The 17,557-nt window shown below is 38.5% G+C and overlaps 1 protein-coding gene across 12 annotated transcripts in view; it reads right to left on the bottom strand.

The window, feature by feature from the left end:
• SPOCK3 (SPARC (osteonectin), cwcv and kazal like domains proteoglycan 3) overlaps positions 1 to 17,557 on the bottom strand; it is a 501,562-nt gene that overhangs the window by 21,829 nt on the left and 462,176 nt on the right. The gene's annotated exons all lie outside the window — the stretch shown is intronic.

Here is a 17,557-nt window from a genome sequence, read left to right on the forward strand (position 1 = left end):
TGGTGACTGTGCTATTTCACATAAACCTGTTGACCAGAGAAAGAATAATCATCATGTAATTTACACAGCCACTTGGTCTCCTGCTTACCTCAAGGAAATTTTACAAATGCAAATGTGTTATTATGAGAGGCCAGATGGTGCACTGGATAGAGCAGGTATAGAGAGATGACGGAACTGGGTTTGTATTCAAGCTACACACTACTCCACATGGGTTACCCCTGGTAAGCTGCAGACCTCACGAACCTCAGTTTCCTAAATAGCATCAGATGCAATGTCAGTGTTTTGAACTATTTTAAAAATTTGCTTTCAACAATTCTTATTTTGAGGGATTCAGTGAGCTCTCATATGTATGTTGCTTATCTAGTTGTTGTTTAATTTTCTCTTTTCTACTCATTACAAGTGAAAGTAAACTAATAACTCAGTTATTTGCATGGAAAAGAGGATGTATTGGAGACATGGGGACTTATGAAAACAGTATCAAAAAGATGTAATCTTCAACAACAGGGTTTGAAGAGTAGTTTAAACATTTCTAAGTGCAATTCTCTCAGATTTTGTAGCTAATTTTATGTTCTAGTAATACAAAATCTATTTTGATAGTTTTTTTTCTTGTTATACTTTGAATTATAAAAATAATAGAAATAAAAATGTAGACACTTAGGATTAAAAATTAAATAAGAGATTTGGGACAGGAACAGCTCCGGTCTACAGCTCCCAGCGTGAGCGACGCAGAAGACGGTGATTTCTGCATTTCCATCTGAGGTACCGGGTTCATCTCACTAGGGAGTGCCAGACAGTGGGCGCAGGCCAGTGTGTGTGCGCACCGTGCGCGAGCCGAAGCAGGGCGAGGCATTGCCTCACCTGGGAAGCGCAAGGGGTCAGGGAGTTCCCTTTCCGAGTCAAAGAAAGGGGTGACGGTCGCACCTGGAAAATCAGGTCACTCCCACCCGAATATTGCGCTTTTCAGACCGGCTTAAGAAACGGCGCACCACGAGACTATATCCCACACCTGGCTCGGAGGGTCCTACGCCCACGGAATCTCGCTGATTGCTAGCACAGCAGTCTGAGATCAAACTGCAAGGCGGCAACGAGGCTGGGGGAGGGGCGCCCGCCATTGCCCAGGCTTGCTTAGGTAAACAAAGCAGCCGGGAAGCTCGAACTGGGTGGAGCCCACCACAGCTCAAGGAGGCCTGCCTGCCTCTGTAGGCTCCACCTCTGGGGGCAGGGCACAGACAAACAAAAAGACAGCAGTAACCTCTGCAGACTTAAGTGTCCCTGTCTGACAGCTTTGAAGAGAGCAGTAGTTCTCCCAGCACGCAGATGGAGATCTGAGAACGGGCAGACAGACTGCCTCCTCAAGTGGGTCCCTGACTCCTGACCCCCGAGCAGCCTAACTGGGAGGCACCCCCCAGCAGGGGCACACTGACACCTCACACGGCAGGGTATTCCAACAGACCTGCAGCTGAGGGTCCTGTCTGTTAGAAGGAAAACTAACAACCAGAAAGGACATCTACACCGAAAACCCATCTGTACATCACCATCATCAAAGACCAAAAGTAGATAAAACCACAAAGATGGGGAAAAAACAGAACAGAAAAACTGGAAACTCTAAAACGCAGAGCGCCTCTCCTCCTCCAAAGGAATGCAGTTCCTCACCAGCAACAGAACAAAGCTGGATGGAGAATGATTTTGACGAGCTGAGAGAAGAAGGCTTCAGACGATCAAATTACTCTGAGCTACGGGAGGACATTCAAACCAAAGGCAAAGAAGTTGAAAACTTTGAAAAAAATTTAGAAGAATGTATAACTAGAATAACCAATACAGAGAAGTGCTTAAAGGAGCTGATGGAGCTGAAAACCAAGGCTCGAGAACTACGTGAAGAATGCAGAAGCCTCAGGAGCCGATGCGATCAACTGGAAGAAAGGGTATCAGCAATGGAAGATGAAATGAATGAAATGAAGCGAGAAGGGAAGTTTAGAGAAAAAAGAATAAAAAGAAATGAGCAAAGCCTCCAAGAAATATGGGACTATGTGAAAAGACCAAATCTACGTCTGATTGGTGTACCTGAAAGTGATGTGGAGAATGGAACCAAGTTGGAAAACACTCTGCAGGATATTATCCAGGAGAACTTCCCCAATCTAGCAAGGCAGGCCAACGTTCAGATTCAGGAAATACAGAGAACGCCACAAAGATACTCCTCGAGAAGAGCAACTCCAAGACACATAATTGTCAGATTCACCAAAGTTGAAATGAAGGAAAAAATGTTAAGGGCAGCCAGAGAGAAAGGTCGGGTTACCCTCAAAGGAAAGCCCATCAGACTAACAGCGGATCTCTCGGCAGAAACCCTACAAGCCAGAAGAGAGTGGGGGCCAATATTCAACATTCTTAAAGAAAAGAATTTTCAACCCAGAATTTCATATCCAGCCAAACTAAGCTTCATAAGTGAAGGAGAAATAAAATACTTTATAGACAAGCAAATGCTGAGAGATTTTGTCACCACCAGGCCTGCCCTAAAAGAGCTCCTGAAGGAAGCGCTAAACATGGAAAGGAACAACCGGTACCAGCCGCTGCAAAATCATGCCAAAATGTAAAGACCATCGAGACTAGGAAGAAACTGCATCAACTAATGAGCAAAATCACCAGCTAACATCATAATGACAGGATCAAATTCACACATAACAATATTAACTTTAAATATAAATGGACTAAATTCTGCAATTAAAAGACACAGACTGGCAAGTTGGATAAAGAGTCAAGACCCATCAGTGTGCTGTATTCAGGAAACCCATCTCACGTGCAGAGACACACATAGGCTCAAAATAAAAGGATGGAGGAAGATCTACCAAGCCAATGGAAAACAAAAAAAGGCAGGGGTTGCAATCCTAGTCTCTGATAAAACAGACTTTAAACCAACAAAGATCAAAAGAGACAAAGAAGGCCATTACATAATGGTAAAGGGATCAATTCAACAAGAGGAGCTAACTATCCTAAATATTTATGCACCCAATACAGGAGCACCCAGATTCATAAAGCAAGTCCTCAGTGACCTACAAAGAGACTTAGACTCCCACACATTAATAATGGGAGACTTTAACACCCCACTGTCAACATTAGACAGATCAACGAGACAGAAAGTCAACAAGGATACCCAGGAATTGAACTCAGCTCTGCACCAAGCAGACCTAATAGACATCTACAGAACTCTCCACCCCAAATCAACAGAATATACATTTTTTTCAGCACCACACCACACCTATTCCAAAATTGACCACATAGTTGGAAGTAAAGCTCTCCTCAGCAAATGTAAAAGAACAGAAATTATAACAAACTATCTCTCAGACCACAGTGCAATCAAACTAGAACTCAGGATTAAGAATCTCACTCAAAGCCGCTCAACTACATGGAAACTGAACAACCTGCTCCTGAATGACTACTGGGTACATAACGAAATGAACGCAGAAATAAAGATGTTCTTTGAAACCAACAAGAACAAAGACACCACATACCAGAATCTCTGGGACGCATTCAAAGCAGTGTGTAGAGGGAAATTTATAGCACTAAATGCCTACAAGAGAAAGCAGGAAAGATCCAAAATTGACACCCTAACATCACAATTAAAAGAACTAGAAAAGCAAGAGCAAACACATTCAAAAGCTAGCAGAAGGCAAGAAATAACTAAAATCAGAGCAGAACTGAAGGAAATAGAGACACAAAAAACCCTTCAAAAAATCAATGAATCCAGGAGCTGGTTTTTTGAAAGGATCAACAAAATTGATAGACCGCTAGCAAGACTAATAAAGAAAAAAAGAGAGAAGAATCAAATAGACACAATAAAAAATGATAAAGGGGATATCACCACCGATCCCACAGAAATACAAACTACCATCAGAGAATACTACAAACACCTCTACGCAAATAAACTAGAAAATCTAGAAGAAATGGATACATTCCTCGACACATACACTCTCCCAAGACTAAACCAGGAAGAAGTTGAATCTCTGAATAGACCAATAACAGGCTCTGAAATTGTGGCAATAATCAATAGTTTACCAACCAAAAAGAGTCCAGGACCAGATGGATTCACAGCCGAATTCTACCAGAGGTACATGGAGGAACTGGTACCATTCCTTCTGAAACTATTCCAATCAATAGAAAAAGAGGGAATCCTCCCTAACTCATTTTATGAGGCCAGCATCATTCTGATACCAAAGCCGGGCAGAGACACAACCAAAAAAGAGAATTTTAGACCAATATCCTTGATGAACATTGATGCAAAAATCCTCAATAAAATACTGGCAAACCGAATCCAGCAGCACATCAAAAAGCTTATCCACCATGATCAAGTGGGCTTCATCCCTGGGATGCAAGGCTGGTTCAATATACGCAAATCAATAAATGTAATCCAGCATATAAACAGAGCCAAAGACAAAAACCACATGATTATCTCAATAGATGCAGAAAAAGCCTTTGACAAAATTCAACAACCCTTCATGCTAAAAACTCTCAATAAATTAGGTATTGATGGGACGTATTTCAAAATAATAAGAGCTATCTATGACAAACCCACAGCCAATATCATACTGAATGGGCAAAAACTGGAAGCATTCCCTTTGAAAACCGGCACAAGACAGGGATGCCCTCTCTCACCGCTCCTATTCAACATAGTGTTGGAAGTTCTGGCCAGGGCAATCAGGCAGGAGAAGGAAATAAAGGGTATTCAATTAGGAAAAGAGGAAGTCAAATTGTCCCTGTTTGCAGACGACATGATTGTATATCTAGAAAACCCCATCGTCTCAGCCCAAAATCTCCTTAAGCTGATAAGCAACTTCAGCAAAGTCTCAGGATACAAAATCAATGTACAAAAATCACAAGCATTCTTATACACCAACAACAGACAAACAGAGAGCCAAATCATGGGTGAACTCCCATTCACAATTGCTTCAAAGAGAATAAAATACCTAGGAATCCAACTTACAAGGGATGTGAAGGACCTCTTCAAGGAGAACTACAAACCACTGCTCAAGGAAATAAAAGAGGAGACAAACAAATGGAAGAACATTCCATGCTCATGGGTAGGAAGAATCAATATCGTGAAAATGGCCATACTGCCCAAGGTAATTTACAGATTCAATGCCATCCCCATCAAGCTACCAATGACTTTCTTCACAGAATTGGAAAAAACTACTTTAAAGTTCATATGGAACCAAAAAAGAGCCCGCATTGCCAAGTCAATCCTAAGCCAAAAGAACAAAGCTGGAGGCATCACACTACCTGACTTCAAACTATACTACAAGGCTACAGTAACCAAAACAGCATGGTACTGGTACCAAAACAGAGATATAGATCAATGGAACAGAACAGAGCCCTCAGAAATAATGCCGCATATCTACAACTATCTGATCTTTGACAAACCTGAGAAAAACAAGCAATGGGGAAAGGATTCCCTATTTAATAAATGGTGCTGGGAAAACTGGCTAGCCATATGTAGAAAGCTGAAACTGGATCCCTTCCTTACACCTTATACAAAAATCAATTCAAGATGGATTAAAGATTTAAACGTTAAACCTAAAACCATAAAAACCCTAGAAGAAAACCTAGGCATTACCATTCAGGACATAGGCATGGGCAAGGACTTCATGTCCAAAACACCAAAAGCAATGCAACAAAAGACAAAATTGACAAATGGGATCTAATTAAACTAAAGAGCTTCTGCACAGCAAAAGAAACTACCATCAGAGTGAACAGGCAACCTACATCATGGGAGAAAATTTTCGCAACCTACTCATCTGACAAAGGGCTAATATCCAGAATCTACAATGAACTCAAACAAATTTACAAGAAAAAAACAAACAACCCCATCAAAAAGTGGGCGAAGGACATGAACAGACACTTCTCAAAAGAAGACATTTATGCAGCCAAAAAACACATGAAGAAATGCTCATCATCACTGGCCATCAGAGAAATGCAAATCAAAACCACTATGAGATATCATCTCACACCAGTTAGAATGGCAATCATTAAAAAGTCAGGAAACAACAGGTGCTGGAGAGGATGCGGAGAAATAGGAACACTTTTACACTGTTGGTGGGACTGTAAACTAGTTCAACCATTGTGGAAGTCAGTGTGGCGATTCCTCAGGGATCTAGAACTAGAAATACCATTTGACCCAGACATCCCATTACTGGGTATATACCCAAATGAGTATAAATCATGCTGCTATAAAGACACATGCACACGTATGTTTATTGCGGCACTATTCACAATAGCAAAGACTTGGACCCAACCCAAATGTCCAACAATGATAGACTGGATTAAGAAAATGTGGCACATATACACCATGGAATACTATGCAGCCATAAAAAATGATGAGTTCATATCCTTTGTAGGGACATGGATGAAATTGGAAACCATCATTCTCAGTAAACTATCGCAAGAACAAAAAACCAAACACCGCATATTCTCACTCATAGGTGGGAATTGAACAATGAGATCACATGGACACAGGAAGGGGAATATCACACTCTGGGGACTGTGGTGGGGTCGGGGGAGGGGGGAGGGATAGCATTGGGAGATATACCTAATGCTAGATGACACATTAGTGGGTGCAGCGCACCAGCATGGCACATGTATACATATGTAACTAACCTGCACAATGTGCACATGTACCCTAAAACTTAGAGTATAATAAAAAAAAAAAAAAAAAAAAAAAAAAAGAGATTTGGGGGCTTGAAAAATTTACAATTTCACAAACTTTTGGGAATTTGTTAATTTTCAGAAGATATTTAATGCTCATATCTGTGAATCACCATATTAGAAAATGGTAATACAAAGGTAAAAGAGGTATTTCTGGCATTTTCATAAAAGTATTAAAGAATTTCAGTGTTTTTGTTGTTGTTTAAATTCTCTTGTAAAATTGTTTATAGAATCAAAACAGAGTTATCTCACTCAAACAAACAGTAAACATGAATTCCTTATTTCCTATTTTCTGTGCAAGTGCTCACCTTGGTTCTGGAAATGTAAGGTTAAAAATGTAGATTAGGTCCCTATTACCTTGAAGCAAATTTTTAAAATAGTATATTTTGAGATACTGATTTAAACTATTCTAATTACCAGAAGTTGCCAAATGCCCAGGGATTACATGAATAAAGCAATGTTGGTGTGAGATTTCTGGTGTGCCCTTGATCCAAAGTATAAAAGGGTCTGCATAGAGAAACGGCCATATCATTCCAAAATGAATATCTGTTATCTACCTTATGGCTGGCAGGAAAAGAACACTGGGGAAAGAGAGTTGGGTACAGCCCAACAGATGAAAGACAAAAACTTCTCTGGGATTCAACCAATTCTGAAAGCTCAGACTCAGTTTGGAGGATGCAGAAGTAGATGAGATATGTACTACAGGGTTCTGTAAGTTGAAGGAACTGCCCAGAGAAACTGAGCAGAATACCAGGAGCTAGGAATTCACCAATTAGGGTTTTCTGTCTGGAGACTATATGCAACATTCTAACTAGAATGTCTAGAGATGAAACATACAATAAATGAAATGAAATATATGCTGGATGGTATTAAAAGCACATTGGACACTTCAGAAGAAAAAAAATCCTTGAAACTGAAGACATATGAAAGACCTTATCCAAAATAAAGCACATAGGAGAAAGAATATGAAAAAGAAAAACCAACCATGAGCCTTATTGAACTGTGGGACTATGTCACTTGCCTTAACATATCAGCAATTGAGGTCTCAGAAGAATACTCGAAGTGTGGGGTTCAGAAAATTATATGAAGAAATAATTACTTACATCTTTTTGAATTTGATAACAATTACAAATGCAGATACACAAAGTACAATTAACATCAAGTAGCAGAAAGAAAGAAAACCAAACTAAAGCATACCATAAACAAATTGGTGAAAGCCAGCATCAAAAAGAAAAAAAAAAACTTTAAAAGTAGCCAGACAAATACTGAAACAGGAGAAATTCTGCACAGAGGAACAGAGATGAGAATGGCAGCAAGCTTCTCCTCAGAGGCTATGAAGCCCAGAAGACAATGGAAAATTTCTAAAGTACTCAAACAAAGAAAAAGCCATACCTAGCAAGATTATCTTTCAAAAATTAAGCTAAAAGAAAGACCTTCTAAAAACAATGTAAAGCTGAAAGATTTCAAGAGTTACAACTCTTGAAATATAATAATGTAATAATGACAGAGAATGTAATAATACCATGACAGAGAATGTAATAATACCAGATGGAAATCTGGATCTACATATAGAAATGAAGAGGGCCAGAAATGCTACATATGTAGGTAAACATAGAAAACTTTTTTCCTTTCATTTTAAGCACTTTAAAAGCTAATGAATTGTTTAGAGCAAAAACCATAACAAAGTACTGTGGAGTGTACAACATAGGTAGAATTAAATGTATGAAACTAATAGCACAAAATGTGTGTGCTGGGGTAGGGAGGGTAGTGTACTCTGGTAAGTTTCTTACAGCATATGTAAAGTGTTAACAATATTATTTGAAGGTACATTGTGATAAGTTAATGATATATACTATAAACCCTAGAGCAAACACCAAAAAGTAAAATATAGTTAATTAACTATGTTAGTTTGGTATTGCTGCTGTAATAGATGACCACGAAATTTAATATCTTAAGTAACATCAATTCATTATTTCATAATTCTGTAAGCTGAAAGTCCAACAGAGATCTCAAAACACTAAAATCAAGGTATCTGCAGTTCCTTTCTTGGGGCCATAGCAAAGAATCTGTTTCTTTTTTCAGCGGGGTTGCTGGCAAGATTTAGTTATTTGAAGTTATAGTATTGGGGCCTTTGATGGTTTGGGGCCCTTGATGGCTACCAGTGGAGGACAATTTCCACCTAGCCACCATCCATACTTCTAGGCTTGTGGTCACTTTCCTCATCTTCAAAGCCATTTCTTCCACTTCCTTTTCCATCTCATTTCTTTTTCAATACAGGGGAGAAAAGATATCCACTTTTTTTTTATACTTTAAGTTCTAGGGTACATGTGCACAACGTGCAGGTTTGTTACATATGTATACATGTACCATGTTGGTGTGCGGCACCCATTAACTCGTCATTTACATTGGGTATATCTCCTAATGCTTTCCCTCCCCCCTCTCCCCACCCCACAACAGGCCCTGGTGTGTGATGCTCCCCTTCCTGTGTCCAAGTGTTCTCATCGTTCAATTCCCACCTATGAGTGAGAACATGCGGTGTTTGGTTTTTTGTTCTTGCGATAGTTTGCTGAGAATGATGGTTTCCACCTTCATCCATGTCCCTATAAAGGACATGAACTCATCCTTTTTTATGGCTGCCTAGTATTCCACGGTGTATATGTGCCACATTTTCTTAATCCAGTCTATATTGATGGACATTTGGGTTGGTTCCAAGTCTTTGCTATTGTGAATAGTGCTGCAATAAACATACATGTGCATGTGCCTTTATAGCAGCATGATTTATAATCCTTTGGGTATATACCCCTTAATGGGATGGCTGGGTCAAATGGTATTTCTAGTTCTATGTCTTTGAGGAATCACCACACTGTCTTCCACAATGGTTGAACTAGTTTACAGTCCCAGCAACAGTGTAAATGTGTTCCTATTTCTCCACATCCTCTCCAGCACCTGTTGTTTCCTGACTTTTTAATGATCACCATTCTAACTGGTGTGAGATGGTATCTCATTGTGGTTTTGATTTGCATTTCTCTGATGACCAGTGATGATGAGCATTTTTTCATGTGTCTGTTGGCTGCATAAATGTCTTCTTTTGAGAAGTGTCTGTTCATATCCTTTACCCACTTTTCGATGGGTTCTTTGTTTTTTTCTTGTAAATTTGTTTGAGTTCTTTGTAGATTCTGGATATTAGCCCTTTGTCAGATGAGTAGATTGCAGAAATTTTCTCCCATTCTGTAGGTTGCCTGTTCACTCTGAAGGTAGTTTCTTTTGCTGTGAAGCTCTTTAGTTTAATTAGATCCCATTTGTCTATTCTGGCTTTTGTTGCCATTGCTTTTGGTGTTTTAGACATGAAGTCCTTGCCCATGCCTATGTCCTGAATGGTATTGCCTAGGTTTTCTTCTAGGGTTTTTATCGTTTTAGGTCTAACATTTAAGTCTTTAATCCATCTTGAATTAATTTTTGTATAAGACATAAGGAAGGGATCCAGTTTCAGCTTTGTACATATGGCTAGCCAGTTTTCCCAGCACCATTTATTAAAAAGGGAATCCTTTCCCCATTTCTTGTTTTTGTCAGGTTTGTCAAAGATCAGATGGTTGTAGATGTGTGGTATTATTTCTGAGGGCTCTGTTCTGTTCCATTGGTCTATATCTCTGTTTTGGTACCAGTACCATGCTGTTTTGGTTACTGTAGCCTTGTAGTATAGTATGAAGTCAGGTAGCGTGATGCCTCCAGCTTTGTTCTTTTGGCTTAGGATTGTTTTGGCAATGTGGGCTCTTTTTTGGTTCCGTATGAACTTTAAAGTAGTTTTTTCCAATTCTGTGAAGAAAGTCATTGGTAGCTTGATGGGGATGGTATTGAATCTATAAATTACCTTGGGCAGTATGCCCATTTTTATGATATTGATTCTTCCTATCCATGAGCATGGAATGTTCTTCCATTTGTTTGTATCCTCTTTTATTTTGTTGAGCAGTGGTTTGCTGTTCTCCTTGAAGAGGTCCTTCACATCCCTTTTAAGTTGGATTCCTAGGTATTTTATTCTCTTTGAAGCAATTATGAATGGGAGTTCACTCATGATTTGGCTCTCTGTTTGCCTGTTATTGGTGTATAAGAATACTTGTGGTTTTTGCACATTGATTTTGTATCCTGAGACTTTGCTGAAGTTGCTTATCAGCTTAAGGGGATTTTGGGCTGAGATGATAGGGTTTTCTAAATATACAATCATGTCATCTGCAAACAGGGACAATTTGACTTCCTATTTTCCTAATTGAATACCCTTTATTTCTTCCTCCTGCCTGATTGCCCTGGCCTGAAATTCCAACACTATGTTGAATAGGAGTGGTGAGAGAGAGCATCCCTGTCTTGTGCCAGTTTTCAAAGGGAATGCTTCCAGTTTATGTCCATTCAGTATGATATTGGCTGTTGGTTTGTCATAAATAGATCTTAATATTTTGAGATACATCCCATCAATACCTAATTTATTGAGAGTTTTTAGCATGAAGGGCTGTCGAATTTTGTCAAAGGCCTTTGCTGCCTCTATTGAGATAATCATGTGGTTTTTGTCTTTGGTTCTGTTTATATGCTGGATTACATTTAATGATTTGCGTACGTTGAACCAGTCTTGCATCCCAGGGATGAAGCCAACTTGATCGTGGTGGATAAGCTTTTTGATGTGCTGCTGGATTCGGTTTGCCAGTATCTTATTGAGGATTTTTGCATCAATGTTCATCAGCGATATTGGTCTAAAATTCTCTTTTTTTGCTGTGTCTCTGCCAGGCTTTGGTATCACAATGATGCTGAACTCATAAAATGAGTTAGGGAGGATATCCTCTTTTTCTATTGATTGGAATAGTTTCAGAAGGAATGGTACCATCTCCTCCTTGTACCTCTGGTAGAATTTGGCTGTGAATCCATCTGGTCCTGGACTTTTTTTGGTTGGTACGCTCTTAATTATTGCCTCAATTTCGGAACCTGTTATTGGTCTATTCAGGGATTCAACTTCTTCCTTGTTTAGTCTTGGGAGAGTGTATTTGTCGAGGAATTTATCCATTTCTTCTAGATTTTCTAGTTTATTTGTGTAGAGGTGTTTATAGTATTCTTTGATGGTAGTTTGTATTTCTGTGGGATCGGTGGTGATATCCCCTTTATCATTGTTTATTGCATCTATTTGATTCTTCTCTCTTTTCTTCTTTATTACTCTGGCTAGCAGTCTATCAATTTTGTTGATCTTTTCAAAAAACCAGCTTCTGGATTCATTGATTTTTTGAAGGGTTTTTTGTGTCTCTATTTCCTTCAGTTCTGCTCTGATCTTAGTTATTTCTTGCCTTCTGCTAGCTTTTGAATGTGTTTGCTCTTGCCTCTCTAGTTCTTTTAATTGTGATGTTAGGGTGTCAATTTTAGCTCTTTCCTGCTTTCTCTTGTGGGCATTTAGTGCTATAAATTTCCCTCTCCACACTGCTTTAAATGTGTCCCAGAGATTCTGGTATGTTTTGTCTTTGTTCTCACTGGTTTCAAAGAACATCTTTATTTCTGCCTTCATTTCATTATGTACCCAGTAGTCATTCAGGAGCAGGTTGTTCAGTTTCCATGTAGTTGAGTGGTTTTGAGTGAGTTTCTTAATCCTGAGTTCTAATTTGATTGCACTGTGGTCTGAGAGACACTTTGTTATAATTTCTGTTCTTTTACATTTGCTGAGGAGTGCTTTCCTTCCAACTAAGTGGTGAATTTTGGAATAAGTGCCATGTGGTGCTGAGAAGAATGTATATTCTGTTGATTTGGGGTGAAGAGTTCCGTAGATGTCTATTAGGTCGGCTTGGTGCAGAGTTGAGTTCAATTCCTGGATATCCTTGTTAACTTTCTATGTCGTTGATCTGTCTAATGTTGACAGTAGGGTGTTAAAGTCTTCCATTATTATTGTGTGGGAGTCTAAGTCTCTTTGTAGATCTCTAAGTATTTGCTTTACGAATCTGGATGCTCCCATATTGGGTGCATACATATTTAAGATAGTTAGCTCTTTTTGTTGAATTGATGCCTTTACCATTATGTAATGGCCTTCTTTTTGTCTTTTGATCTTTGTTGGTTTAAAGTCTGTTTTATCAGAGACTAGGATTGCAAACCCTGCTTTTTTTGTTTTACATTTGTCTGGTAGATCTTCCTCCATCCCTTTATTTTGAGCCTATGTGTGTCTCTGCATGTGAGATGGGTCTCCTGAATACAGCACACTGATGGGTCTTGACTCTTTATCCAATTTGCCAGTCTGTGTCTTTTAATTCGAGCATTTAGCCCATTTACTTTTAAGATTAATATTGTTATGTGTGAAATTGATCCTGTCATTATGATGTTAGCTGTTTATTTTGCTCGTTAGTTGATGCAGTTTCTTCCTAGCCTCGATGGTCTTTACAATTTGTCATGTTTTTGCAGTGGCTGGTACCGATTGTTCCTTCCATGTTTAGTGCTTCCTTCAGGAGCTCTTGTAGGGCAGGCCTGGTGGTGAGAAAATCCCTCAGCATTTGCTTGTCTGTAAAGGATTTTATTTCTCCTTCACTTATGAAGCTAGTTTGGCTGGATATGAAATTCTGGGTTGAAAATTCTTTCCTTTAAGAATGTTGAATATTGGCCCCCACTCTCTTCTGCCTTTTAGAGCTTCTGTCAAGAGATCTGCTGTTAGTCTGATGGGTTTCCCTTTGTGGGAAACCTGACCTTTCTCTCTGGCTGCCCTTAACATTTTTTCCTTCATTTAAACTTTGATGAATCTGATAATTACGTATCTTGGAGTTGCTCTTCTTGAGGAGTATCTTTGTGGCGTTCTCTGTATTTCATGAATTTGAATGTTGGCCTGCCTTGCTAGGTTGGGGAAATTCTCCTGCATAATATCCTGCAGAGTGTTTTCCAACTTGGTTCCATTCTCCCCATCACTTTCAGGTACACCAGTCAGATGTAAATTTGGTGTTTTCACATAGTCCCATATTTGTTGGAAGCTTTGTTCATTTCTTTTTACCCTTTTTTCTCCAAGCTTCTCTTCTCACTTCATTTCATTCATTTGATCTTCCATCACTGATACTCTTTCTTCCAGTTGATCAAATCAGCTACTGAAGCTTGTGCATTCATCATGTAGTTCTCTTGCCATGGTTTTCAGCTCTATCAGGTGATTTAAGGACTTCTCTACAGTGGTTATTCTAGTTAGCCATTTGTCTAATGTTTTTTCAAGGTTTTTAGCTTCTTTTTGTTGGGTTCAAACTTCCTCCTTTAGCTCGGAGAAGTTTGAGTGTCTGAAGCCTTCTTCTCTCAACTCGTCAAAGTTATTCGCTGTCCAGCTGTCTTCTGTTGCTGGGGAGGAGCTGCGTTCCTTTGGAGGGGGAGAGGTGCTCTGATTTTTAGTATTTTCAGCTTTTCTGCTCTGTTTTTTCCCCATCTTTGTGGTTTTATCTACCTTTGGTCTTTGATGATGGTGACGTACAGATGGGGTTTTGGTGTGGATGTCCTTTCTGTTTGTTAGTTTTCTTTCTAACAGTCAGAACCCTCAGCTGCAGGTATGTTGGAGTTTGCTGGAGGTCCACTCCAGACCCTGTTTGCCTGGGTATCAGCAGCAGAGGCTGCAGAACAGTGAATATTGCTGAACAGCAAATGTTCCTGCCTGATCGTTCCTCTGGAAGCTTCGTCTCAGAGGGGTACCTGGCCATGTGAGGTGTCAGTCTGCCCCTACTTGGGGGGTGCCTCCCAGTTAGGCTACTCGGGGGTCAGGGACCCACTTGAGGAGGCAGTCTGTCCGTTCTCAGATCTCAAACTCTGTGCTGGGAGAAGCACTACTCTCTTCAAAGCTGTCAGACAGGGACATTTAAGTCTGCAGGGGTTTCTGCTGCCTTTTGTTCAGCTATGCCCTGCCCCCAGAGGTGGAGTCTACAGAGGCAGGCAGGCCTCCTTGAGCAGCAGTGGGCTCTACCCAGATGGAGCTTCCTGGCAGCTTTGTTTACCTACTCAAGCCTCAGCAATGGCAGGCGCCCCTCCCCCAGCCTTGCTGCTGTCTTGCAGTTCGATGTCAGACAGCTGTGCTAGTAACGAGTGAGGCTTCATGTGCATGGTACCCTCCGAGCCATGCACGGGATATAATCTCCTGGTGTGCCGTTCGCTAAGACCGTTGAAAAAGCACAGTATTAGGGTGAGAGTGACTCGATTTTCCAGGTGCCATCTATCACCCTTCCCTCTTCTAGGAAAGGGAATTCCCTGACCCCTTGAGCTTCCCTGGTGAGGTGATGCCTCACCCTGCTTCAGCTCACACTGGTGGGCTGCACCCACTGTCCTGCCCCCACTGTCCGATAAGCCCCAGTGAGATGAACCGGGTACCTCAGTTGGAAATGCAGAAATCACCCATCTTCTGTGTCGCTCACACTGGGAGCTACAGACTGGAGCTGTTCCTATTCGACCATCTTGGAACCAAGCCCAAGATGTCCTCTTTTAAGAATGTATGTGATTAGATAGGGCCTATCCAGATAATCCAGGATAATCTCCTTATTTAAAGGTCAGGTGATTCATAACTTTAATTCCATCTGCAATCTTAGTTCCATTTGCCATGTAATATATCAGGTCCTGAGATTAGAATGTGAACATCTTTGAGAAGTCATTATTTGCCTCCCATCTAAACCAGTTGTGGAGCTGAAATGTGAATCGTGAAAAAATATAAAACTGATATGTCTAATTGAAAATAAGGCAAGATAAGAGAAAAAGAAAATAACAGCAATAAAATAAAATAATACCAAGATGGAAGTTTTAAACACAACCGTATTGACAATCATTAAATTAATATGGTCTAACCCTTAGATAAAAAGGTAGAGATTGTCAGACCAGACAAAAATGTCAAACTCAATGCTATGCTGTCTCTAAGAGACCCGTTTTAGATATAAAGATACAGACTGGTTAAGAGTAAAATAATGGAACATTTAATCATAAAAGCTGGAGTGGCTATGTTTACGTAAGACAAATTAGACACCAGAAATTGAGTTAAAAATCTAATTTTCATTGTGGTGACATGAATGAGATTTCAGGTTAGAACTTCAGTTTCCTTTTTATGTCTATCGATCTTGTTTATAAATATTTATCATATAATACTATATATACAATGCTATATATATTATACATAGTGATTGTATGATAGATTATATAAATATAATATTATATTATATTTGTATTGTATTATATAGTGATGAAATGATAGCACTATTCAAGAGCTCTCAAAGTCACCCAATAGTAGCTATTGTTTAAAAAGTTCAGAATAAGAAAATTTTTCACCAAATTTATTTCATTTTATATTTGTAGCCTCAAAAGAATCATATTTGAAGGGTATATATATAATTTACAATACTGTAATCATTTAATATCTAACATTCTTCTCAGCATTTGTTGCTTCATCATCCTGATGACTCTTGTAACACACTTTTGTTTATTGAGATATTTAAAATATAACAAAAATATAAGCTTTCTCTATCTTTGAATTTCAAGGTAAATAGATTATCTTGAAGAATCCCCACATTGTCTAGATGTGCACATTAAGGCCTAGGTATATTAAAAACAAACAAAGCAAGGTAGTGGTAGAACACAGTTCAATGACCTGAATCTAAGTTAGGTAGTTTGACATCCTCAGTCCAAACCATTATTATTACATTTCATCAAATTGTTTTTTTAGCAAGCATGCACACCTGTATGAATTTCATTTATTTTTAGTATAAAAGATAAACTCTTAGTTCTAATGTGCCTAAATGTCATTAAATACCTGTTGCACATCATATGTTTAGAAACATTCTTTTATATTGATATATGAATTGTGGAATAAGCTTTCCTCAAATAGAGTGAGAAAAATTATTGGAAGTTTAAATATACTTTTGTTTCACACTATATTGACAAAAACAGTACTTAATAATGTATTTAAACTGTCAAGGTTGTTTACATGGTACATCATAAAATTATTTATATTAGCTGTTTTAAATTCTTCCTCCCATAGCCACTGTTATTTCCAGTAATATTTTCAGGACTTATATTTCACCTAATTATAGACCATGTTTTTATAGTTCTTAGCATGCTTGGTAAAATTGCAATGAAGAATATTCAGTCAAAACTGCCTCTAAATAAATTCCATAAAACCGAAGATTTTGAAGAAAATCACGGAAAATCAGTATATTTATGGATTATTATAAATAATCTCATTTTATTTTATAGTCAGTCTTAAAACCACATGAAGATAATGCTATATAAGGAAAGTTAAACATAAACAGTAATGATTTATTATTGATCCTTACTTTTTTCACATTTAAGATTTTAGAACTAGTGAACCAAATACTACAAATAATGCAGTAGTATGTCAAATGAACAAAAAGTACATAAAATATATGTTTAAAGTATGCAATGCTATCTGCTGTATTTCCAAAAATGCCACATTCCATATTCATTTTTTCTATTATGTTATTCTGAATGTATCTATATTGTGTCTGAATTGCAATGTGACCTCCTAAGTATATCAATGAAAACTTTTCTTTCCCTAAAAGACTCTGTGTCCAATTTCCAGGAGCATACAATTCACATAATTATAATAATGGTGAAGAAATTGCATATGAAATATTATCTAATAGCCATCTAATACAATCAAATCTGCTATTCTATCAAATTAGAAGAAAGAGAGGAAAAAAGTAAGGGAAAATTTAAATTTATAAAATTGAAATATGATATTATTGGGAAATTGATACAACAGAATATTCACAAGCAGTTTTTAGGAGTCTGAATATTACTTGAAATGAACTTTTAAATAATTCAGAAACAGTAAACTGCAGAGCTGTGCAAAAACTACTTTTAGATTGAATTCAGATTCCTAGATATGACTCTAAGTGTA

This window comes from Homo sapiens, chromosome 4 (assembly GCF_000001405.40).
Source record: "Homo sapiens chromosome 4, GRCh38.p14 Primary Assembly".
NCBI lineage: Eukaryota > Metazoa > Chordata > Mammalia > Primates > Hominidae > Homo > Homo sapiens.